We start from the raw sequence: 25232 nt of genomic DNA on the forward strand, positions 1-25232 counted from the left end.
TCAGGAGTACCCTGCCTTTAGAATGTCCCCAGTTACCGTCACTGGCTGCCGGCAGCCCTGCAGGGGCCCCTTCCCTCGGTCAGTGTGTCCAGTGCACTCTGCACAGAACCCGACAGTGGCTAGCGCCTTCTCTGACCCTCAGACACACTGCCCTCTATCTACAGGGCACAAGCAGGTCTTGCGTTTCTTAAATTTGTTTCCACAGGAGGAAAGCAGGAACAAGAAATGACCTCCCAGGGCCATTGTTAGACGACGCTCACCAGCTGCCTTGTGAAGTTGACAGGCACAGGATGGGGGCTGGCCCAGCCTCCCTCACTCACATACCCAACCCTCTGCTGCTGGTATGCTCGGCCCATCTCAATAAATAAGGCTGGGCTGGGAGCCAAGGTTGTGTCCCCAGGTGGCATTTCTTTCCTTCCCCCTACTCTTTCTTCTTTAAAACAGAATGGTAATATATAAAGCTTAGGAAAAAAATTACAGGTAAGCCTACTTATCCACTCCTATTCAGTCTTTCCTTATGTGGATATTCTTTGGGCATATATAAATTATGTTTCCTGCTTTTAAAATATTTAGCAGCACATGGGCCGGGCACGGTGGCTCACGCCTGTAATCCCAGCACTTTGGGAGGCCGAGGCGGGCAGATCACGAGGTCATCAGGAGATCGAGACCATCCTGGCCAACATGGTGAAACCCCATGTCTACTAAAAATACAAAAATTAGCTGGGCGTGGTGGCGCATGCCTGTAATCCCAGCTACTTGGGAGGCTGAGGCAGGAGAATCGCTTGAACCAGGGAGTCAGAGGTTGCAGTGAGCCAAGATCATGCCACTGCACTCCAGCCTGGTGACAGAGCGAGACTCCGTTTCAAAAAAAAAAAAAAATTGGCGGCACATTATTGGAATTTCTGCCCTGGCTCCATAGTCTTCTCATGTAGACGTCTGCAGAAAGGCTGCACGTCCACTCCCCTAACCCTTCACTGCCCTACTGTGAGTTGCTGGGCCCTCAGCTTGCCCTAGTGTGGATGTCTCCATGTTCAGGATGGATTTTTTTTTTTGTATTTTAATAATTGAGATTTTATTGGTTGAAGATCAGTACAGACGTTTCAATTTGTACACAATTCTTAACATACGTAATGAAATTCTAAAAAGCCATGTAGTGTAATTCTTTTTTAAAGTTATTCCAGTGACTTTCCAGCTTAAAATCGGGAAGCAAATTTTCCTTAAGAGGCTATCAAGTACCAGTATTTTCACATGTTGGTCAGCTGTCACATACGGCCCACCAGTTCACAACTGAATAGCACGTACACTACATATTCAAATTTGTAATCTTTCACAGCACAGTGACAAAGTTATTAGGAAAACAGGACTACCACAACCAAAGATGTTACAGAGTGCACAATTCTGACAGGGAGAGCCATGATCAAAGAGTGGTTTTCTTTAGGAAACAATTCTACTAAAAAAACAACATGGCAACAGAAGTAATTTAAAATGTTCAAGATATTAAATGCAGGACTGACTCCATATTGCCATTTAATATGCTTTGTATTATAGGATATAAAAACTAACCCCCCCATCTATGGAATGTTAAGCTGACACCCGAGACAGTCAAAGCCTCCCATAATTCAATATCCCACACTATTTTCTGGTTGTACCAAAAAATAAACAATCAGCAAATGATTTCACCTCTTAAAAAAAAGCATTTACACTTAAAAAATGGGATGAGGTGGGATACCCTCCTTCTTAAAAATGTTTCTAGAGCTACTAAAAAGCTTGCATTTACAAAATAGTTGATAAAAAATATTCCTCTGGATTGTACAAGAAGGGAGACAGGGACCACTGATAAGACATGGTATATGGTATTAATCAGACTCGGCTTCTTTCTCTCCTGCTTCATCAGAGGCTGGACTCTCCTCACTTTTCATTTCCCCGTTTTCTGCAGGTAAATCTTTAGTTTCTTAGTTAGCCACTTCGGCCTGTTTTCCCTTTGCTCCCTTTTTCCCTTTTGTTTGCACTTTTTTGTCTGAAGATTTATCCTTCACTGCTGCGTTTTTCGGCTTCGCTTCCACTTTTGCAGGAGGTTTAACTGACAACCGCGCCGATCTCCTCTTGGGCTTTTCCTTGGCGGCTCCTTCAGCAGAGCTGACCTTCCCCTTGGGCATCCTGGCGGCAGGGAGGGCGCGTGCCAGGTGTCTGCGGGCCGCGGCATGCTGACAGCCTTTGCGAAACTGTGCTGCCTGGCCGCTGCCACTCCTCACGCCCAGGATAGATTCTTTAGACAGTCTCAAGAAATGGAATTCCCAGGTCAGAGTGTAGTAAAATTGGTAGAACTGAATACATGTGGCCAAACTGCTTTCCCCAGAGGCTGTGCCAGCATGCCAGCACTTCTCATGCCCCTGCTGGTGGCTGGCAAGGCAACGAGGTCAATCTTTGCTTTGTACCTTGGCTGTGAGCTGGACCCGACAGAAGCATGTGATGAATCAGTGCAATCCCCACTGTGCCTCCTCCACTCTGCCCGTCACGTCTGGATAAATAACTCCATACACGCACAGTGGATGTGGGGGCAGCAACCTCTTACCATTGTGTGCAAAGCCCAGCATTTGTACTTACAAAGGGGAACTAGAGCCAACCCCCCTTAGCCAGTCAAGCACACTCCCATCCCCTACACCAGGGGTCCCCACCCCCTGGGCCATAGACTGGTACTGGTCCGTGGCCTGTTAGGAACTGGGCTAAATAGCAGGAGGTGAGCCAGCAGGTGGGAGAGCATTACCACCTGAGCTCCGCCTCCTGTTGTGTCAGGGGCGGCACTGGATTCTCACAGGAGCTCAAATCCTATTGTGAACTGCGCATGCGAGGGATCTAGGTTGTGTGCTCCTTATGAGAATCTAATGCCTGATGATCTGAAGTAGAACAGTCATCCTGAAAGCATCTGCCTCCTCCCCACTGCATGGAAAAACTGTCTTCCACGAAACTGGTCCCCGGTACCAACAAGGCTGGGGACCGCTGCCCTACACCAAGCCAAGCCACTCCCAAATGGCCTTGGGGTATGGTTCTTCCTTCTCATCTCCAACCTAAGATCTGAGGAGTACAAAACAGGGCTGACTGGGGGAGTCTTAGGGCATTGAGCTCCGCCGGCCAATAGGTCTGTCCCACGCTCCAGCTGAAATGGCCGGAGGGGCCCCAGCAGATAGGCAGCCTGTTCCCCACCTCCAGCCCTGGTCCAGGTTCTGGGGAAAATACTATCCTAGGTATGATCCTCTCTCTTCAGAGTTCACCTTAGCTGCCAATAAGCAGACACCAGACACGCCCCCAAGAGCCTCAAGGTTGGAGCAACAGGGACACACATGTGCTAAGGCAAAGGCTGGTTCACTGTAATTGGAGGCCAGGAAATAGAGGAAAAAGAGCTGAAGAGATGAAAACCACAAGCATGCAATGTACTATAATATTTAAGCCTCACAACAACCCATGAGGAGACTGAATTAGGTTGAATGGGGTCCCCCATAAAACTCATGTCAACCCAGAACCTCAAGATAGAACCTTATTTGGAAACAGGCTCTTTGCAGACATAATTCCTTAAGATGACATTATACGGCTGGGCACAGTGGCTCACGCCTGTAATCCCAACACTTCAGGAGGCAGAAGCAGATGGATCACCTGAGATCAGGAGTTCAAAACCAGCCCGACCAACATGGTGAAACTAAAAATACAAAAATCAGCTGGGAATGGTGGCAGGCACCTGTAGTCCCAGCTACTAGGGAGGCTAGGGCAGGAGAATCACTTGAACCCACGAAGTGGAGGTTGCAGTGAGCTGAGATTTCACCATTGCATTCGATCCTGGCAACAAGAACACAATTCCATCTCAAAAAAAAACCCCCATAAAACTAAAAAACAAAGTGAACACTCGGGGTAGAGGATTTGACTGCAAAGTGAACACTCACACAGCACTGCACTATGCAGGAACTCTCCTCAGAACTTCGTTATGTATTAACTGATTCAATTCTTACAAGCCTGTGAGGTTGGTACTATTATTATTCCCACTTTACAGATGAGGAAGCTGAGGCGACCAGAAGGCTAATGAACTTGCCTAAAGCCATGGAACTAGTAAGAGACCAAATGAAACAAATGAAAAGCAAAGAATAGCATAGTGGCTGCTGGCTGGGCTGAAGAGTAGGGAAGTGAAGCCCTGGGGGGAGGCAGGAGGCTGGGCTGGCCTCACCGTCAGTCCAGGCCTCGTGGATGGAGGCCTTCTGCCGGAACTTCTCTGCCAGGTGGTCCAGTCGCTCCAGCCTCCGGATCTCATTCAGCAACCACTCCTCATAGCCCTTCTCCACCTGCTCCAGGCAGCCCCAGGCATTGTTGATGTCCTGTGGGGATGGGAGGTACAGGGTCAGGGTCTGGCTTGGGCCTAGGCTTCAGGTCCCCTAGCCCCCTAGACCCCTGAAGGTGCCCCATGCCTTCCAGGAAGAGCCTCTTCCCTATCTCTGCCCCATATCCACCCTAGCCAGGCTGCCCCACCATACCTCCCATCTCCCACTGGTATTTTCTGGGCTCCCAGGAGCCAGGCCTCCTGGGCAAGGCATGGGACCTGCATCTACATTGGTCACCCAGCTATGGGACTTTGAGAACAGAGCCCTGTGGGGAAAGGGCCCCAGACTCTCCCTGACTAGGACTGGTTTCCCGCAGGACTCTAACCGATCACAGAGGTCACACATGTGCTAAGGCAAAGGGCCCCCGAGGTAAACAGACCAACAATGTGCAATGAGGCAAGCAGGCACTGGAGCTGCCCAGCCTCCCCACTGTCCTGGATCCATTCATGGACTCAGGCCTCTGGGCAATAACCTGGAGCCTACAGAGACCCCGGCCTGGGTGAGCCGGCCAGAATTCTGGGAGGACAGATGCTGAGTGCAAACCCACACGCCCCTTCAGACAGGGCCATGCCTCCAGTTTGTGCAACAGTGCCCAGCTGGACAGTCACTGGGGCTGCACCCTGCAAGCCACCCTCCCCACATGTCCCCAGGCCAAGCTACATCTGTCCCCCAGAAAGGGTACTTTGTCTAATTCTCATAGAGCACCCTTAGGCTAGCAGTGGCTCTGGCCACCTAAAAGCTACTGATTCAGCCTTGGAGCCCCGAAATGACTGCAATTTTCCAAACTGCATACCCACTTGCAATGTATTCTCCCTCCATGACCCCCTGGGCTGCCGTCTCCCCACGATGCTGTCTGCCTTTCACCCTCCCCTTCTAGACCTGTCATGTGCCCATGACACTCCTGTTACTTTTCACTTAAGGACAAAAAGCTGCGTCATGGCAAATTTCTTACATTTTCTTCTGTGTGTTTCTCTGGCTTATGAAATTTTTCCCTAAGTTGTGGGGACAGGGTCAAGAAGGATGAATAACAAAAATAACCTAAAAGAAGAGTATTTTATGACATGGAAAGCTGGTCAGAATATAATGTAAGATTGGGGGTTTTCCTAAAGCAGCTTATTATATAAAACAGGCTTTAGTTATCTGTCAGGGGACACTTGAGTACAGAAACCGGGAAAAAATGTTTAATTTCAAATACATATACTTTAGGATTCCCTCAAATATTTACACGAAAAAACCAAAAGGATTAAAATCATTTTTTTTAAAGTTGATACTGGGTAGTAAGATTTTCAGTAATTTCCATGTTCTGTATTTTGCTTATTTGTATCTTTGAAATATACTACCCAAAAAAACCCACAAAACTATTACTTCAATAATAATATTTTTTAACTACTTAAGATTCCATGGAAGTAGAAATCAACTTGACTGCGATTCAATTATGCCCTGTTTGGTTCAGGGTGTCAAAAGCATTGTGTTCATAGGGATGATTTTTTGTGAGAGGGAGGTCTGGAGTAGATGCTCAGGGGTCTGGAAGGGCAAGCCTGACCCAGAATGGTCTGGGCAGAGGGGGCTGCCCCACATGGCCGAGTTTGGGATTGAGCCTGGGTGGTAACTGGAAGGGGGAAGTGACTTCTGGAGCAGTGTATGTAGGTAGAAGCAAACACGCCCATCCGCACCCCCATAAAGCTGAATTTGACCACAACTAGGAGCAGCTCAGAGGTGGAGGCAGTCCAGTCTGGGGGCCCAGGCTCACCCCCAGTGCTCACCGAGACCATCCTGCCCTCAGAGGGCATGAAGGCAGGCCGGTTGCTGAGCCGCAGCTTGGTCTGCAGCGTGTTGAAGTTGATCTCCAGCTGGCACTTCTCCTGCACCTTGGGCGGCTTGTGCAGGCGCCGGTAGTCCCGGAAGTCCTCCAGCTTCTGTTGCATGGCATGCATGGTGTTCTCGGGCACCCGGTTCTCCAGCCACGGGATTGTGCGGCGGATCCACTCCAACAGCTAGGGTGGGAAGGCGGTGGGGGCAGGAGGTGAGGAGGCGGGGAGGGAGTGTGCTAGGGCCAGCCTCCCTTTCCTCCCAACAGCCCTCCCACATGGGGAAGGGGTCTCTCCTAATAGCACACTCCTTCCCAACCACTGACATTCCCAGGCCATGAAGTCAGCTTCCAGGGTGTTCCCTCTGAGAACCACAGGCTTCGTGAAGCCTGGCTACTAGGGTACATCGACTCACAGTCACGTCACTCAACCTCCCTGCTTTGCTAAGGGAAGACCCATAGACCTGGTGTGAAGTTAGTGCAACTAAAAGGCAGGAAGGAAGCCTGGGTTTTAGTACCAGGTTCTAACTGGCTGGGCCTCAGTTTCCTCATCTATACCATGGAGGGGGTTAACAGCTATTTCCAGAAGTTCTTGCCATCTGACTTCCTAAGAATCTAGAATGTGGGTCTCTGACTTAAAAGGGAAGAGGCTGGCTTCTGGGCAGAGAGCTGGCCTGGAGCACAAGCAGGCACGGCCTGGACTGTTTTCCTTGGGCCAAGGTGATGGTGGTGGAGAAGGTGGAGGGGTGCACATGACAATAGGAATACACTGAACACCTGCAGGGGGCCAGGCACATCACACACATGGACTCATCTGAATCACCACAGAAACACTACAAAGCTAAGGGCTGTGATCACCTGCATGTTACAGAGGAGACAACCGAGGCCCTACCAGGTCCTGTAACTTGCCAAGGTGACCTGGCTGGAATGGCAGAAATTTAAACCCAGGCACTTGGGCTCCAGAACCTGCGTTCTTACTATGCTGGGCAGCAGATCCACCAAGAGGCTGGGCTGAGCAGCTCAACGGGCTGAATTCTTTCAAGAAGAGGAGGCTTAACCTAAATGTAGCCAATGGCAGAACAGGAAACCCAGCACTGTGCCATCCTGTTCCCTGAACAGTAGGGGACAGCCGCTACTTTTGGTAGCTGTTATGCTAGCCTGAGCCGGCACTAATTTACCGAAAACCCTACCCTCACCCTCTTAGAACCAGATGTGCTCCTTTTCTCACTGAAGCAAAACTCACAGACTAAGAGTACACTAGGCTGGAAAGGCTTTGACATCCCCTGGCTCAACTCTCACTTGACAAGTGAAAAAAACAAGAAGACTCTGAGAGGCAAAGGGATATCCTAGGCTCATGATAACTCAGGGACTGGCCTCTGCCCCCACCTCACTACTTTCTGGGAGAGCCACAACAGAGCTCAGGCTGCCCTGGACTAGCAGTATTGGGATCAGAGACTATACAAGCCTGAGACTATGCTCCAAGGAAAGACTTGGAGGTACACGTTCTAGGGGACTGACTCTTGCTAGAGTCAGGCCAGGTGAACCCGGGGGTACCCACATCACTGGCCAGCTTCTCGTAGTCTTCCATAAGCTGCTCGTTCTCCTGGTTGACGGCCAACACCTTGCAGATGCGATTGGCTGCTGTCTCCGCCTGGCAACAAGACAGAGAGAGTCACGACCAGCCAGCCCCAGCAGCAGGGGCACCTGGTACACACCTGTGCTGACAAAGCCCCTCCCATCCCTGCAGCTCCCTGTGGTTGGAAGGGAGTTAAGAAGGCTGTGAGGTCACATTCCTCCTCTCTCCTTACCATCCTCCTTGCCAGCCCATGGCCAGGTCCCATGGGTCAAGTGAGCCTGGACAGAGGTCTTGGTGGCTGAACTGGGCCCCTGGAGAACAGCCTGAGTTTAAGGCCCAACCTGCAGGTTGGGAAGAAACTAATCCAATGACTGATATAATCAAAATACTCAGGTCAGGTGGAGAGGTGAGAAAATTCATGCCCATCCTGGAATTCCAAGTGGAGGCACTGGAACTGCAAGGCTTAGGACCTCTGGCTGGATTTTCCAGGGTCTTGGAGATGTGGGAATTCAAATCCGGGAGTCCTGGGATAAAGTGCTGACTGAGAAATCATGGGACCTCTTGGGATCCCTGCAGAATCTCCCAAGGCTCTTGGCCCAAAGCCTGAAGCACTTTAGAGAAAACTGACGGACATTCTACTGCACCCAAGTCCAGACTTCCGGATCAACCAAGTATGGGCTCAATGCCCAGCAAACCCAGCACAGGCCTCTTCCAGACAGCTAAGCACACATCATGCGCTGCGTGCTGGGCTAGCAGGGACCCAAGATGGCCTCAGCAGCAAAGGGAAGGAAAGGGGACTGAATGGCAATCCCAGGCAAAGACTAAGAAACCTTAGTGGGAGAGCGCCTTCTGCAGCTGTGGGGGCTACTGTACCCCTAACACCAGCAGGGACCCAGCATTCCTGAGTCCACTTCAAATAGGTGGTTTTAAAATCCAGCTGTGTTCTTGCATACATTCCAACCCTACACCAAGGGGGAAGTGAACTCAAAGCCTTTTGGGGGCCAGAGGGTAGAAAGGAAGACAGCCTGGGGGTGGGAGAAGATGATATCTGTGAGAAGACAGACATGCATCCTGAGACCCTGGAGAAGGGTGCCCTGCAGATGAAAAATGATCCCTGGATTAACAGGTTGAAAGACAGGACCTCACAACTGGTTGATGAACAAGACAAAACAGGTTTCAACTGCAGCAAGATGAACTGAGGCTGGTTGTAAGGAAGAGCTTCCTGAGAATGAACGTGCTTAGAATTGGAAGGAATGACTAAGATGGAAGACGGAAATGTTTTTTCCTTGAAGAACTTCTCGAATCCGCCCACCAAATCATGTGCTTTGTGGATGGATGACTATGCTGGGGTGTGTGGGGCAGGGGGTAAGGGGCAGAATGAGATCATCCTAAAGGCCTTGTCAGAAACACAGTCAAGGAGGTCAAGGGAGGCATGACCTGCAGAGCAAGGTGTCAGAATGGGTTGGGAGAACCAATAAGGAGAAGGTGGGAATGGCCAGAGGGTGGTCTAAGAGTCCCCTGAGGTGGGGACTTTGAGTCCTGGGCCTCAAGAAACTGAGACAGGGAGTCACATCCTTAGGCCCTCACCCCCTGACCCCAACTCAACCCTGTCCTGGAGATGCCATGACTGCTTCTCACCCACAACTCCTGACTGATCGCCATCTCTCTCGAGAACCAACAAGCACCCACGGGGAATCCCAAGAAGCAACGAAGAGGGAAATGCTTTTCCTGGAGCCTGTCTAGGAGACCTGGAGCCCCAGAAAGCAAGTGGGGCCATGGGAACCAGGCCAGCAGCCTCATGGGACTGACTGGGGAGCAGCTTGCCGGAAGCCCCAGACTACTTCCCTTCAAGGCTGGGGCAGGGGGCTGCAGAGAGACCCGCGTGTCCTCCTCCAGGCTGATGTTTTTGTGAGGATGTGCCACCCCGGAAGACTATGCCAGAGATGTGCCACTCAAACAGCTGAAACCCCTTGGCAGCTACTCATAACTGGCACGAAGCAACTGCGGCTGTGATTTTCATGGATAAAGCCACCTTCACCTTGTTACTCTCCTGATCCATCGGCTCGATGGTCATAAAATCTGATGTGTGCCAATTTATCAAACTGGTGGACTAAGGTCTGCATTTGTGGGATTTTACATGTGTCCTATGGGACCTCAAGAGCCTCGCCCATCCCCAAGAGCCTGCTGACTACTCCAGAGTCAGGGTCAAAAGGGCTCCCTTCTGGATGAAGTCTGGGGGAGATTCCGGGTGGGCCTCCTGGGGACTTTCCACAAAGATCCAACCGCATTCCCAAGCCAGAGTCTCAGCCACCTGCTCCCAGGATGGCCTCTCCAGAAGGAGACTGACTGAGAATACCATCCATTATAACCAGTGAACCAGCCTTCAGAAATAACACACAAGTACCACGGGAGACACAAGAGTGCTTTCTGTATGGCAGGCCAGGCTGCAGACTCCACCGGGTTCCCTTGAGAGACAGCCCAGCTCCTACATTACCTTCAGGAAGCAGGTTCCTGAAGTCCAGATTTGATTTTTCTAAAAAAACTACGGCAGAATCCTCAGAACCTCATCCTCTCCCTTTCTCTCGCAGCCTGACTCCCCCTACAGGCAGGATGCACCACAGAGAAGCCCACTGGGTGGTGAGTTGGACCTGCTTCCACGTGGTCCCTTGATGAAGGCGGCTTCATCACCCACCAGCCTCAGCCTGAGAAGTAAGATGAGGTCAGCTGGGAAGGCCAGGCTTAGGCCCACGGGACACGATCCCGGGAGCAGAAGGAAAGGCCGCTGGGGGTGACAGGCCTTCCCCATCACCGCAAACTCCTGGTTTTCTAGCTTTTTCCTCTCACAGCTACAAGAACCCCATGAACTCTGAGGGATCTAGGAGAGAGGCACCCAGAACCACCAAGTACATAAAGAATCTCAAAGACAACCCTTTAGTCCAGAAGTTCAAAGGAGAGATGTGTTCTAGGGGAGGAAAGATTCCTTCCCTGAGAACCTCAGGAACTGAAGCAGCTTCAGAAGCAACTTCAGAAGAGAACCCCGGGAGAGACCTGGCTTCAGGCTATTCCTGAAGAGGAGATGGGCTGCTCTGGCCCCAGCAAGAAGAACCAGGTGCCCTGACATGAGATAATGTAACAGATGCACAGATAATTGATGGCTTCATGAGATAATGTAACAGATGTAACAGATAATTGATGGCTTCAGAAAATATTCTCTGGAAATGAGCAAAATGTTGCTTCCAAGTGCCAAAGGAGAAGACTACTAGAAATCTGTGTTTCCTTTCCCTTAGTTTGTATTTTCATGGTTGTTTTGTTTGTTTTTTTGTTTTTTGAGACAGAATCTTGCTCTGTCACCCAGGCTGGAGTGCGATGGCACAATCTCGGCTCACTGCAACCTCTGCCTCCAAGGTTCAAGCCATCCTCCTGCCTCAGCCTCCCGAGTAGCTGGGATTACAGGTGCATGCGCCACTATGTCTGGCTAATTTCTGTATTTTCAGTAGAGATGGGATTTCACGGTGTTGGCCAAGCTGGTCTCAAATTCCTGACCTCAGGTGATCCACCAGCCTCAACTCCCAAAGTGCTGGGATTACAGGTGTGAGCCTCTGCGCCCAACCTGAATTTTCATGTTTTTTTATGACCTACTTTAAGCTGCGCTATTATACAACTTAACATATACACTTTGTTGTATATTCAAGAGTTATTTTTTAAAAGATATGAACTATTATTATCCCTGGAGTTATTTTTTAAAAGATATGAACTATTATTATCCCTGGAGTACTTAGCTATCCCAAGCCAAACTGCTACCCTAATAATCAGCATCCAATTGCCTGATACAGGCACAGTCTAGAGAGGAACTGTCCTCAAGGTGACATCAAAACACCCAAACGTGGCCAGATGATGTGCTGTGGCTCCACCACCCACAACCCACAGATTCACATGAATGCCACGAGGATCTCATCTATGTCATCTGTAGCCAAAATGTTCCCAAATCTAGCTGGACCTGCTTTTTTCTTCTTCCCACAGCTGTCCACTGCCCAGTCTTTCCCTCTGTCCGGAGTCAGCCACCAAGCCCAGGGTTCCTACTAAGAGAGCCCCAGATCAGCAGAGATCTCAGACCAGGCATCCGAGCTTCCTCACGGTGAGTGGGCCAGGGTGGGTGACCAGGCAGAGGGAAACTGGCCCCTTTCCTCAGGCAGCCCACACCTTGCCAGCTTCCTCTCCTACTGCAGGCTCCGCCTGCATACCCCGAAGCTTCTTGCACAAGCTGTGGTCACCTCCCTCCACAACACTGTCTGCCCCTTCCCAAGGCCTTGCTAAGCCTTCCCCCCACAGACCTCATGTTCAAGTTTCTGCTGCTCAAGAAAACCTTGGTGGCCGGCAGTCTTGTGACTGCACCTGCCCTGCTCAGATCTGGGGCAGAGCAGGGCACTGGTCAGACCGCAGCCACTGCCGGCTCCTTTTTTTAGGTTTTCCCAGATGGCTCATGAATTTCTCTCAGATCGAGTCCAAGCCTTCAAGTGTTCTTTCTCAGAAACAGCAGACCATGAACTCTAAAACACAAGCTACATAAACAAAATCTTAATGCTCTCCATCCATTCTAAGTCCCTGTAAGGGAAGAGGAGGGGAGAGGGAAGCAGAGAAAGAATTAGAACCAAAACCCACCTGTCAAACAGCAGTTGGTCCTCATCTAATGAGGGAAATCAGTACACAGACTTATTATACAGCACGTGCCTGTACAGGCACACGAGCTGTGCACCACACGTGCACACACACATTAGGCGCTGTTGCCTTTTCATTCCACCATACAAGGTTGGGCGACAGAAAGACAGTGGAGAGGATGGAGGGCACTGGGCACGGGTTTTGGAAGACTTTCCTCATCGGTGCCAGCCCGGAGACAGACAAGACAGGAGTGTGTGAGTCAGCAAGAGTCCTTCTCCTCCATCAGCCCCACCACACAAGGCGAGGTAGGGTTCCCCTCCCCTGCCTGCTCAGCTCAAAGCAGTCACCTTAGAAGTGGTGGGGGCAACTCTGGGTCAGACCCCTGACCAGGACATGAGAGGACGACCACCACTACCACCAACCCAGCTGTGACCTTGCCCTCAGGTGTGGACAAAAGCAGCGTGAAATGGTTGCAACAGGGATGAGTGAAAGGGAAGGGGGCATGGGGAGGTGGCATGAGATTTGGGAGGGGGAGCAGGCTGTCACCCACACGCCATCCACATCCCACACACTCCACACACCCCACACACCCCTCACACATGCCACACCCACAGCACTCCCCTTCACTCCACACACACACACCACACACGCCACACCTCACACCACACACACCCTACACCTCACACCCACAGCACACCACACACACACACATGCCACACCTCACACCACACACACCTCACACACCACACACACACCTCACACCCACAGCACACCATACCCCTCCACACCACAACCACACCACACCCACACCTCACCCTACACCTCACACCACACACACACCTCACACCCTACACCTCACACCCACAGCACACTATACCCCTCCACACCACACACCACACCCCACACACACAGCACTCCCCTTCACACACACACCCACATGCCACACCTCACACCACAAACACACCTCACACCCACAGCACACCACACCCACAGCGCACCTCACCCCTCACACCTCCTACACACCACACACACCAGTCCCCACACCCCATACACCTCATACACACACCTCACACACTACACCCTTCCACACCACATTCCCCACACCCCCCAGACACACACCTTACACACCACACTCCACATACACACACCACACTCCCCATACACACCTCACACCCACCACATCCATACCATACACACACACCTCACACACACCCCATATCTCACCCATCACATCCCCCACACACCATACATACCTCAAACCACACACTCCTCAGAACCCCCCATACCCATACATACCACACACCCACTTCATACCCACTACACCCACACGCATCTCACATTCCCTTCCAAGCTTTGTCACCAGCCAGGACACAGAGAAGGCTTCAGAGACAGGGAAGGCCAGCACCAATGGGCATGAAGCCCGGGACAGACCCCTGAAGGAGAAGGGGAGAGACTGGAAGAGAAGGAAGGAGCTTTGGGAAGAGGGGAAAAGACCATAGCAGAGAGCTCAGCCTGACCACGGACACGGGCAGGTGCACACCCGTGGCTATTGGGCCAGGAGGCCAACCAAGGCAAGGGAGAGAAGCTGTTCACACCCTGGCTGCGAGGGGCCAGGGGAGGGGCACAGGAACAGCAGCAGGAGATGTGGGAAGGACAAAGAGGAAGCAGAAGGAAGGCCAGAGGAGGGGCTGAGAGGGGCTGGGCAGGCTCGGGGGATACCTATGAGAAACAGCCTCCAGACGGGGCTGGTCTCCTGTCTCTGGCCCGCACCAATGAGCCCTGGAAGGAAGTTCCGGAGGGTCTTGGGTGCCCAACCAGGCAGGGAACAGGGCTGCTGCCAGCCCATATGGTGTCTCTGGATCATTTTTTACCTCTTCCCCAAGGGCACTTCTACTGGGAAAATGTCCTACTGATTTTGTTAGAAGACATTTTCACTGCCATCTGCAGGATCACTTTAGTAATCAATATTCAAATCTCCATTGTCCACTGCACACACGTGGCACTTGTGAGTAGTCTGCAACCTGCACAACTGTCCATGGCAGCCTGGTTGAGAAGCATCAGGCAGGGCTCTGGTCTGGACTCCCTGGAGAAGGCAGGAAGAGTTCTCCCTGCTCTGGCTGCTGGCTAAATTTGCGAGGGTGGCCTTGCTCAAGCAGGAAGGAGGGAGAGAGAGAGAGGGAAGAGGTCCTGGATGTTTAAGGAAATAGAAAGCACTGCCAAGAGCTGTGCTGCCTGGGATAAGGGCTCTTGATGCGGGGTGCAGGGAAGAAGCTGAGACCACAAGCTTCTCTCTCGCTTGTGGTATCCGCTATGCCCAGGGCATAGGGACAGAGACACAGGAGGTCATTCAGAGGCTGGGGTTCTCTGGCATCTTCAAGTGTCCTGGCCAAAGTTCAGAGTCCTGTTCCCCTGCAGGAGAAGGAGGGGCTTCTCTAGTCCCTCCTTCCATCCCAGGGCCTGCTGCTGGAGTGTCCAGGGAGGACGGAAGAGATGGGCAAGAGGGGAGAGTGGAGGAGGCCGAGGGAGAGCTCACCTTCTGCACACCCGAGAAGGCGTGGCCGTGACATGAAACATTAGGTCACACGGCCTTCCCATCCGGCCTTAGCGTGCCTACACATCTGCACAGAGAAGGAGAAGAGGTTGAGAGGAGAAAGTAGGCAGCGGCAGCAGCACAGAATAAACCCAAACAGCCATGGTGGACAGAAAGAGGACACAAGACAGACGGACAGACAGAAAAGGAGGGAATGAGCAGAAAGAGAAAAAATGAAACAGCAGGGGAGGGAGTGGGTGGGAGGTGAGCAGAGTCTGAGGCAGGGACGGCATAGGAGAGGTGGGAGAGGGCAGGGGCTCCCATCATGCATTTTTTTTTTGTTTTATGGTTTTTTTTTGTTTTTTTTTTGTTTTGTTTTGTTTTTGTTTTGTTTTTTTTTTTTTTTTGAGACAGAGTCTGACTCTGTCACCCAGGCTGGAGTGCAGTGGCACAATCTTGGCTCACTGCAACCTCCACCTCTCGGGTTCAAGCGATTCTCTGGTCTCAGCCTCCTGAATAGCTGGGATTACAGGAGGGTGCTATCACACCCGGCTAATTTTTGTATTTTTAGTAGAGACGGGGTTTCACCATGTTGGCCAGGCTGGTCTCGAACTCCTGGCCTCAAGTGATCCGCCTGCCTTGGCCTCCCAAAGTGCTGGGATTACAGGCGTGAGCCACCAGCCCGGCCTCATCATGCATTTTAAAACGGTCACTCAGATGCCATGTGGAGGGCAGGAGATCTGCATGAGACGTGAAGATTCTGTGGTCATGGTGATGTTGTGCTTCTTCTGGAGTCCTGCCTACCAGGGAGGTCTGGGGGAGGGGTGTATGCTGCCTAAGCCTGGTGATGAAAATGTTCAAATCTTCAATGTCCACAGCATGGACAGTGCCCTTTAGTCGTGGAACCCCTGTGTGGTGCAGAACCTGCACGACTGAACTTTAATCTCAGGCCTCCCGGAGCAAAACTGGGCCAGGACACTTGACGGGGCTCACAGCTGCCCACCGCCTCTCCCTTCCTCCCAGAGGTTCTGCTTATGTCTGAGAACACAGAGTGCAGCATGGCCGCATGGGAGTCCCAGGCAGGATACAGGAGAAGGCACTAGAGCCCAAGGGGCTGAGGACAGATCTGCTAAGTCATGCCCATGAGCAGGACAAAGGTGGGGCTTTATGATGCCTTTGCCAAGTGGGTAAGTGAAGACTGGAGGTGTCTCCCAGCATTGCCCTTCTAAGGGAGCTCCAGCTGCTCTATCGAGCCAGTGGCTTCAACAGACGTGGGCATGGAAGGGCTGCTCCTGTTCACCTTTCAGTAGCCTTCCAGAACCACCCCGGCTGCCTCATGCACACAGCCCTTCCTGCTTAAGCCAGTCATCTGGGTCCCAGAAAGTGAGCTGCTGCCCAATTTTCTTGTTAACAGTAGAAGATGAGAGAGAGAGGTGTGGGGTGGGACGGGAGCCAGGTAAGAACAACACGCCACTTCAGAACTAGGGACTGCCTCTGTCCGAGAGACCAGACCATCCAGATACCTGTCACCAGGAGAGGTGGAGGCGGGCAGGAGGACATGGTTTGGGGTCCAGCAGGAGGTGTGCTGGGCATGGAAGGAGCAGGGGGCCCCGGGTACCTTCTGGGCTCCAGAGAAGGCGTGGTAGAAGCTAGACACGTAAGTCATGATGGCTTTCTCATCCGGTCGGGCAGTTCCAACGATGTCTGTCAAGAAAAATCTGGAGTTAAAGCCAGCTGGTTCCAAGAACACCATACACCCCCGACGTGAGGCAGAAAGAAGCTCGCAGCACCACCAAGTCTTCTTGCCAAAATGTGGAGCCCGAATCTAACCAGCCTCTGGCGTCAACTTGCGCTTATGGGAATGTAAGTAGAGGAACAGGTGAAATGAAGCCCCAAAGGAGGCGGACAAACCCAGTATAAGGAACTTGCTACAGGACAGCGGCCCCATTTCTGCAGCAAGTTCATTGGCAGGAATAAAAGGGGTCAAAGGGAGGAGAGAAGTACTAGAGATGGGAAAAGCTGTCAGAAACACAACCGAATGCCAGTATGGACCTTGTTTGGATTCTGATTAAAACAAACCAACCCTCAAAGAAATGTCATAGGTAATTAGGGAAATTTCATTATGAACTGGGTATCACATGGAATTATCAATTTGCTAAATGTGATAACTTTATCATTGACTAAGAAAATAACTCTATTTTTAAGGATGTATTCGGAAGTATGCAGTGGTAAAATGATGTGATATCTCAGAATTGCTTTAAGATACTTCAACAAAGAAAACAAGAAAAACACAAAGTGTGGCAAGACCTCAGTAGCCATTCTATCTGGATGATGGAAATAGGAAAGGTCATCGTGCTATTCTTTCTGCTTTTGCCTGGGTTTTTATGCGTTTGAAAATTTTCCTCATGACATTTTGAAATTTTAAAAGCTACTGGTGGCTTTGGGAGGCCAAGGCAGGTGGATCACTTGAGGCCAGGAGTTCGAGACCAGCCTTGCCAACTTGGTGAAACCCCGTCTCTACTAAAAATATAAAAATTAGCCGGTGGTGGGTGCCTGTAATCCCAGCTACTTGGGAGGCTGAGGCAAGAGAATCGCTTGAACCCAGGAGGCGGAGGTTGCAGTGAGCGGAGATCGCACCACAGCACTCCAGCCTGGGTGACACAGGGAGACCCCGTCTCAAAAAAAAAAAAAAGCCACTGGTGGGGCAGAGGGGCAGGGAACAGTCTGGACCCCACCGTGGTCTTTTCCTGTCTCCATAACCCCTTTCTAGCCCTTCAGCACTGAGCAGTTGGGGCCAAGGAGAGCACACAGGGAAGGGGCTGTGGTGAGTCAGGCTCCTCCCAAGGGGCAAGCGCGGAGGTGGGACAAGACCCAGCCTGACCCCAGCCTGGAGCTGCCAGCCCTGGCTTCATAAGCCCACAGACCCCTATGCTCCCAGATGCTTCCCTTCCCCCCACAGCCCCTGCTCACCCCATCCGAGACGCTCTACACAGGGAGAGGGGCAATGGTAAGGTCAGCAGCCAGGAAGAGCTGGGTTTCCAGCCCCAGGCCCAATCTTTGGTAAGGATGTTCTAGTGTCGAACCCTGAACCTGTCCCCATCCAGGCATCCTGGCTAGCAGCATCTGGGACAGCAAGGCCTTGGTGAGGAACAGAAAAGTCAACACTCAACTTGGGCCCCCTCCTTCCTTCCCTACCCAACATGGAGCCACTGCCTCTGGCTGGGATCTTCCCAGACAGATCAGAACTGGACACTTCCACCACTGAGAAAGTCCAAGCCATAGTTCTCTAGCACCCTCCTCAGAAGATGCTAGAAGGAAGCCAGGGTTACAGATGAGAAAAACACCATGCCCAGCCAGCCCCAGTCAGAGCTGGGGCATAGAGGAGATGCTAAGCTCAGCTGTCCAGAGACCACCCAGGGCTCAGAGGGTGAGGACAGTGCACCTCTCAGCAAGGGAAACTTCCCATCCCAAACTGTGCCGGACAACAAGGGCACATTTCCCCACACCCCAGCACCCGCTATCCTGACTCCAAGGCAAAGACAAGAACCATCCTCAGGCAGTCGATGCAAGAACAGCCCCTAAGACCTTTGCAGAATCAACTAACACCTCTCTCTCCAAAGCTCAAAGAACGATGGAAGAATCCCCAAGAGGCTGTGATCCCCATGCTCCTCAAATGCGGTCCCAGAAGACCAGGCCTCCTCCCGTCCAGCCCCGGACTGCTGGGGTCCACCCCTTCTTAGCCGCTGAGTGGCAGGTGGGCGATGGGCAAGAGACACAGAAGGAAAGCGCCTTTCACCTTCGGCATCCAGCATCTTGGGGATGTCCAGGTACTTCTCTGCCACGTCAAAAGCCGTATTCAGATTTGTGAGTGGATCATCCTAGAGGGAGAAAAGGAGGAAGGGATGATAAAGTGAGAGCCACCACAAGTCACTGGCTACTCCCAATTGGGTGGCCACCCAAACTGGGGAGCAGAGCGACTTTCTCCCAGCCCCAGCTCGATCCTCAGGGGACAGCTCCAGATGTGGAAGGCTGGTCTCACCACTGGGGCTCACTGGTTGGAGGTTTAAAGCATTCTCTTTCCCCCTTCAAGCTTCAGATTGTCAGGAAAATGGGGCGAAGTAGTCTGCAGCCTGAGTCGGGGGTAGGAAGGAGTTCCTAAGAAACGTGTGCCAAGGGCAGGGCACTGGCCTAGTCACCATCCATCCTGGCTTCTGGTTTCAGCTCTGCCCTCAACCAGTGGGACTCGTGGGTAGCTAACCTGACCTCAGCTTCTCCATCCATAACTCAAGAGTTGGGGTAGGGAGCTCTAAACTCTAGACTAGTCAAGATTCGGAGCAGGAGCCCCTCTGGTGCTCACATTTCATGAAATTTGGGGGCTCCTTTAAATAGCCACAGCTTTGGACTATTCTGGCTTCTGCTACCTTCGCAAGAACACTTAGCGGGGCTTGGCAAGGATGTTGAGAAGCTGTAATCCTTGTGCGATGAATGCAACATAAACGTAGGTGGAATGTCAAATGCTGTGAGAATAGGATGGTGGTTCCTCAAAAAATTCAACATGGTATTACATGGTCCTACAATTCCACTTGCGGGGAGATACTCAAAAGAATTGAAAGCAGGTTCTCAAAGAGATCTTTATACCTCCATTGTTCATAGCAGCATTATTCACAGTAGCCAAGAGGTGGAAGCAACCCAAGTACCCATTGATGGATGAACGGATGAGCAAAACGTGGTGATACATACAATGGAATATTATTCAGCCTCAACAAGAGGGAATTTCTGACACATGCTGCAACATGGATGAACTCTTAGAATGTTATGCTCAGTGAAATAAGCCAGACACAAAAGGACACAGGCCGGGTGCAGTGGCTCACGTGTGTAATCCCAGTACTTTGGGAGGCCGAGGCAGATGGATTGTTTGAGGTCAGGAGTTCATGACTAGCGTGACCAACGTGGTGACACCCCGTGTCTGCTAAAAATACAAAAATTAGCTGGGTGTGGTGGCACGTCCCAGCTACTCGGGAGGCTGGGACAGGAGAATTGCTTGAACCCGGGAGGCAGAGGTTGCAATGAGCCAAGATCGCGCTGCTGCACTCCAGCCTGGGCAACAGAGCAAGACCTCGTCTCAAAAAAAAAAAAAAAAACAGCAAACACCATATGGCTTCACTGTTATGAGGTTCCCAGACAGAAAGCAGAATGGTAGCAGCCAGAGGCCGGGGGGGCAGGAAAGAACGGGGAACTACCGTTTAATGGGTACAGACTTTCAGTTTTGCAAGAAAAGAGTTCTGAAGATGGATGGTAGGAACAGTTGTACAATAATGTGAGTGTACGGAATACCCCTGAACAGTAAGTGTATTTAAAAATGGTTAAAGTGGTAAATTTTGTTTTGTATATTGTACCAGTTATTGTATAAGTTTTTAATGCAGAGGATAAAAAACCTTAGTGGAAGAGTTTCTGGCTGGGCCCTTCTCCTCTATTCTTGGTTCCCCAGACTAACCTAAAGCAAGCTGGTTGTGTCGGCCCAGGACTCAGTTTCCCTGTTTGCTAAAGGGAGAAGTATAGGGTAACACAAAGATAAATACATCATCCAGGATGTTTTCAGGAGGAAATTGCTCTAAACAGAGAAGGTGGGGTCCCTCTGGGAAAGTCTCCAACAGCAGCCAGGAGGATGAACACTGCCGAGTAGTCAAGGTCATTCTCATCCAGGGCCTGGAGCAGCAGCTGCCAGTGCTCAGGTCCAGGTATACACACACCCGCCCCACGTGAGTTCCAGGGACCCCAGGGCCCCATGCCCACCCATGGCTGCTGCAGGAAGGAAGAGCTTCCCAGTCGGAGCCCCTCAGCCCTCTGTCCCTATTCTTCGGCACCAGTTGGTCTCACAACCTCCTTGTTCTCTGGAAGGGTGTTCCTGGTTCACTGGGCTCAGGTGTGTGCTAGGATTTGGGCTGGATTTTACTGATGATGATACTGAATTAAAAGGAGTGGAAGCCAGGTGTGGTGGCTGTTCCTGTAATCCCAGCTACTTGGGAGGCTGAGGCAGGAGGGTCACATTGAGGCCAGAAGTTCGAGACCAGCCTCGGCAATATAGTGAGACTTCATCTCTACAAAAAAATTACAATTAAAAAACAGAAGGGGGGCTGGGCGCGGTGGCTCATGCCTGTAATCCCAGCACTTTGGGAGGCCAAGGTGAGCGAATCACCTGAGGTCAGGAGTTCGAGACCAGCCTGGCCAACATGGTGAAATCCTGTCTCTACTAAAAATACAAAAATTAGCCTGGGTGCCTGTTATCCCAGCTACTCAGGAGGCTGAGGCAGGAGAATCGCTTGAACCTGGGAGGCGGAGGTTGCAGTGAGCCAAGATCACGCCACTGCACTCCAGCCTGGGCGACACAGCAAGACTCTCTTAAAAAAAAAAAAAAAAAAAAAAAGCTGGGCATGGTGGGTCACGCCTGTAATCCCAGCACTTTGGGAGGCCAAGGCGGGTGGATCACCTGAGGTCAGCAGTTCAAGACCAGCCTGACCAACATGGTGAAATCCCGTCTCCACTAAAAATACAAAAATTAGCCAGGCGTGCTGGCGTGCGCCTGTAATCCCAGCTACTGAGGAGGCTGAGGCAGGAGAATTGCCTGAACCCAGGAGGCGGAGGTTGCAGTGAGTGGAGATCACGCCATTGCACTCCAGCCTGGGCAACAATAGTGAAACTCTGTCTCAAAAAACAAAACAAAAACAAAAACAAAAAAACACAGAAGGAGAGGCAGAGACAGCAAAACAGGGAGAAACTGGCAGAGATAAATAAAAAGACAGAGAGGGATAGTGCGTGGGAGAGTGCTAACTGGGTATCAGAAAGAACCCCTGGACTTTCACCTCCCAAATGGCTGATGCTTCCAAATCCTTCAGAATAAGGGAGGGGGCTCTAGAGCCACGGTCGGCACAGACCCCTTTAGTGGGGATGTCCAACAGCTGTGGATGAACTGGCCACTGACACCCCAGCATACCCAAGCAGGGACAGAGATAGGTGCACACCTGTCACCAAAGCCCATCAGCTGAATAGGAAGTGGTGATGCCTTCAAAAGAAAAAACTGCCACCTGTAGAATATTCCCCCTTGGCCACGTTTGATTTGGCCACACAACTTTCCAGCAGGACAGGAAGGTTCTCTTTTTTTTTTTTTCCTTGCAAAGCAGCTGAGGAGGTGGGCCAAGGATCCTCTTCCCCCAGGAGGTTAGCTGGCGAAGGGCTGGCCCCTGCTGTGGCTCCTCTCCTTCAGCAGATGGGCCCTTCCAGTGGGCAGAGGCCTCAGCCTCAAGCTTCAGGTGACGGGGCAGTGTGTATGGGGTGGGGGTGGGGCGGGGCACGGTGCAGGGAAGCGGGTAGGCATCTGCTCCTTTCCTCCCTCAAGATCCTTTTTGGCAGCTTGCTATCCACCCGCCCGAAACAAAGGGCCTGCCACCACCATGAGTTGCACAGCAGCTCCTGCCCCAGTGATATTAAACCTCTCCTGGCCACTGAGAAGCAAGACGCCCTTCCTGGAGGCCCAGGCAAGGCAAGAGCTACACTGAACACTGTGTTCTCCAGCATCAAGGTGAAGTAGAGACACACAAGTCCAGCCGCTCCTTGAAGCCTCCCTTGCCAAGAGATCTGAGCACAGATAGGCGACATTCCAACCCCAACTCCAGGTCACCAACTTGGGGCGTGGGAAGGGTCTTTCCTTGGATGGCCATGCCATGTGGCCTCTTGGCACCAAGATGGACCAAGAGGGAACCTGGAGAGTGTGGTCAGAGGGTCCAGGAGGGAACCTGGAGAGTGTGGTCAGAGGGTCCAGGACAGGCTTCTCCAAGGTCCAGGGCAGTGTCGTCCAACCAGCTCAGACATTGAGAACCACCATGAGGCTAGAAACACAGCTCCCACTCCTGCATCTGTCCCCACTCCACACACCCACTCAAGAAAAATCACTGCAGCTTCATGCTGAAGGCGGGAGTGAAACCAAAAGAAAATCCCCCAGCCAAACTTGAGCAATAAAGGAAACCAAATCCATGGGTGGGATAAGCTGCCCAGGACCGCACAGCAGGTCAAAGGACAAGGCGGGGATGAACTGTCCCTTAGAATATGCACTGTTTTCAATGATGAAAATAGTGTCTCCTCTTTACAAATCCCGGAAAAACAGAAGGGAGAAACACCATGTATCATTCCATCCCTCTGACAAAGCTGCTGTCACAGCTGTGATATTTTCCTGATGGGCTGTGTATGTGTGCAAGTACACACACACCACGCACAAGGGTAATGAAGTTGCCCTAACAGGGAAGGTGTTTTCTCTTCACTTTCAGTTGGGGCTCTGTCTGGCTATTCTAAGAGGCCAACACTGCTCAGGCTGGACCATGGACTGTCACAACAAGGGTCCTAGTCCTGCTCTTTTCCCACCCCACCTGCCAGGGACCCAAAGCGGGTGGTCAGGTGGGCACACATACCTTCCGCAGCTTCCCGTAGTCAATCAGCTCGGGCCGGTGTCGGTGGATCAAAGCACAGAAGCCGAGGCCATCCTTCCAGCTGCCCGGGGAGAGAGAAGAAGGAGCAGGCTGGTAAATGAGGCTGAACAAACGGGCAACCAGGGCAAAGCAGGGGCCTCCTAGACACCAGAGAGATGAACACATAGAGCTTTCTGGGGTAGGAGTTAGAAGACAGGATGGGAAGGGACATTTCTTCCTGCCACAAATCCCAGGCACTAGGGTCAAGACTTTGTGGGGGGGTTGACAAGTTCAGATAAACCTGCCATATCCAGCCCTACCCCCGACCAAGGCCTATGGCCCTAGTCTGCTGTTCCAGAGCCCTGGGCTGGGACTTCCTGGACAATTTCCTTGGGGGCGCTCCCAGTAGCAAAAGCATCAACCAAAGTTATATCAGGCAGCAGCCCCATCTAAGACACTGCAGGGAGAGAGACGGGGGGATTCAGAGCGATGGCGACATCCCCTTCCCAAGGAAAGCTACTTCTTCCCCCAGAGGTCTCCACTTTGTTCTAAAGCTGAGACTGACCCAGCCAAGGGGGTCTGGGAGCTCCCGGGGGAGGCAGCCTGGTTCTGTGAGAGCCCCTCAGACCCCAGCACTCACCTTATGTGGAAGTTCTGGATGTTGACATTTTTGTAAGGGGCTGTCTTTCTCTGACACCACAGGAGCAGCCCTTCCTTGGCTGAAGTCTCTATGGGGAAGGGGATGGGCAGCGAGGTCAGAGGGCTGACTCGGTGGAGGGAGGGATGCCGGCTCACAGGAGGCCCCACTGTGACCCTTTGATGCCAACCCTGCAGCTACTGAAGGAGGAGCCCTGGCCATCAAGTCTATTCCCTTGACAGAGTTTGAGAAGTTATTTGAGAAACAGAAAAAGCAAGCTGGGAAGCTGTTCAGAGCTAGTCGTGTTACACGTGTAAATTTTGAGACAACAGTTTTTCAAACTTCAAGAATTAGCTCCCCCTACTCTCTTTTATTCAAAGAAATGGTAATGATACAAAATAAGTCGGCAACCTCTATCAGGTTGGGGAGGAAGATTTGATCTGGGAAATCTACACATCTAGGGGTCTCCAGACAGGGGAATCCCACAGCCTGAGGGGTGCACACAGCTGAGTGAGAAGAAAGCATTAGGACTCCTAGACAGATTTTGTTTTTAATCTAAAAAATAAGGTTTCCTTATATTTACTGCACGGATCAATACTGCTGCCCTCTGTGTGTGAAGCAGCCACGTGTCTATGAGGTTAGGCAGGCAACTGAGGGGGCTCACGGAGCTCCCAGCACAGAAGAAAGACTGCAAACCACACTACCCCCCTGCTAGGTTTGTGCTGTGTCCCCGCCCAAATCTCATCTTGAATTGTAGCTCCCATAATTCCCACGTGTTGTGGGAGAGAGACGGTGGGAGATGATTGAGTCGTGGGCGTGGTTTCCCCCATACTGTTCTCGTGGTAGTGAATAAGTCTCACGAGGTCTGATGGTTTTCTAAGGGGAAACCCCTTTCACTTGGCTCTCATTCTCTGCCTGCTGCCATGTAAGAGGTCCCTTTGCTCTCCCTTGCTCTTCTGCAATGACTGTGAGGCCTCCCCAGCCATGTGGAACTGTGAGTCCATTAAACCTCTTTTTATTTATAAATTACCCAGTCTCGGGTATGTCCTTACCAGCAGCGTGAAAACGGACTAATACACCCTGTGTTTGTGCCTGTGAATTGGAGGTTAAGGTACTCAGTGGACTGTGTTCATGAATGATCTCATTTATTTTCAACACACAAAATGGACTTTAAAATGACATTCAAGGGTTCCTACAAAGACCATAACC

General features: G+C 51.5%; 1 protein-coding gene and 1 pseudogene across 24 annotated transcripts in view, besides 1 other annotated feature; both read right to left on the bottom strand.

The window, feature by feature from the left end:
• The window catches only part of ACTN1 (actinin alpha 1), a 105175-nt gene that overhangs the window by 11801 nt on the left and 68142 nt on the right, over positions 1-25232 (bottom strand). For 23 of the 24 annotated variants that reach the window (NM_001424029.1, NM_001424027.1, NM_001424025.1 and 20 more), the window contains 7 exons: positions 24027-24114; positions 23390-23468; positions 18727-18808; positions 16549-16634; positions 7727-7819; positions 6125-6355; positions 4211-4358 (listed from right to left, as the gene is read on the bottom strand). In NM_001424029.1, coding sequence (NP_001410958.1) covers positions 4211-4358; positions 6125-6355; positions 7727-7819; positions 16549-16634; positions 18727-18808; positions 23390-23468; positions 24027-24114 — 807 coding nt within the window. Of the gene's footprint in view, positions 1-4210; positions 4359-6124; positions 6356-7726; positions 7820-14933; positions 15019-16548; positions 16635-18726; positions 18809-23389; positions 23469-24026; positions 24115-25232 lie in introns of all 24 variants that reach the window. The other variant, NM_001424030.1, reaches the window with a different exon arrangement.
• Positions 1054-2255, bottom strand: HMGN1P3 (high mobility group nucleosome binding domain 1 pseudogene 3; annotated as a pseudogene).
• Positions 4586-5086: an enhancer, noted in NCBI's record as "H3K4me1 hESC enhancer chr14:69357231-69357731 (GRCh37/hg19 assembly coordinates)". NCBI's record gives its function as "activates a minimal SCP1, AML or CMV promoter by ChIP-STARR-seq in naive H9 embryonic stem cells {active_cell/tissue: H9 hESC(naive)}" and the evidence as "EXISTENCE:reporter gene assay evidence [ECO:0000049][PMID:30033119]".

Source organism: Homo sapiens, chromosome 14 (genome assembly GCF_000001405.40).
Source record: "Homo sapiens chromosome 14, GRCh38.p14 Primary Assembly".
NCBI classification, from domain to species: Eukaryota; Metazoa; Chordata; class Mammalia; order Primates; family Hominidae; genus Homo; species Homo sapiens.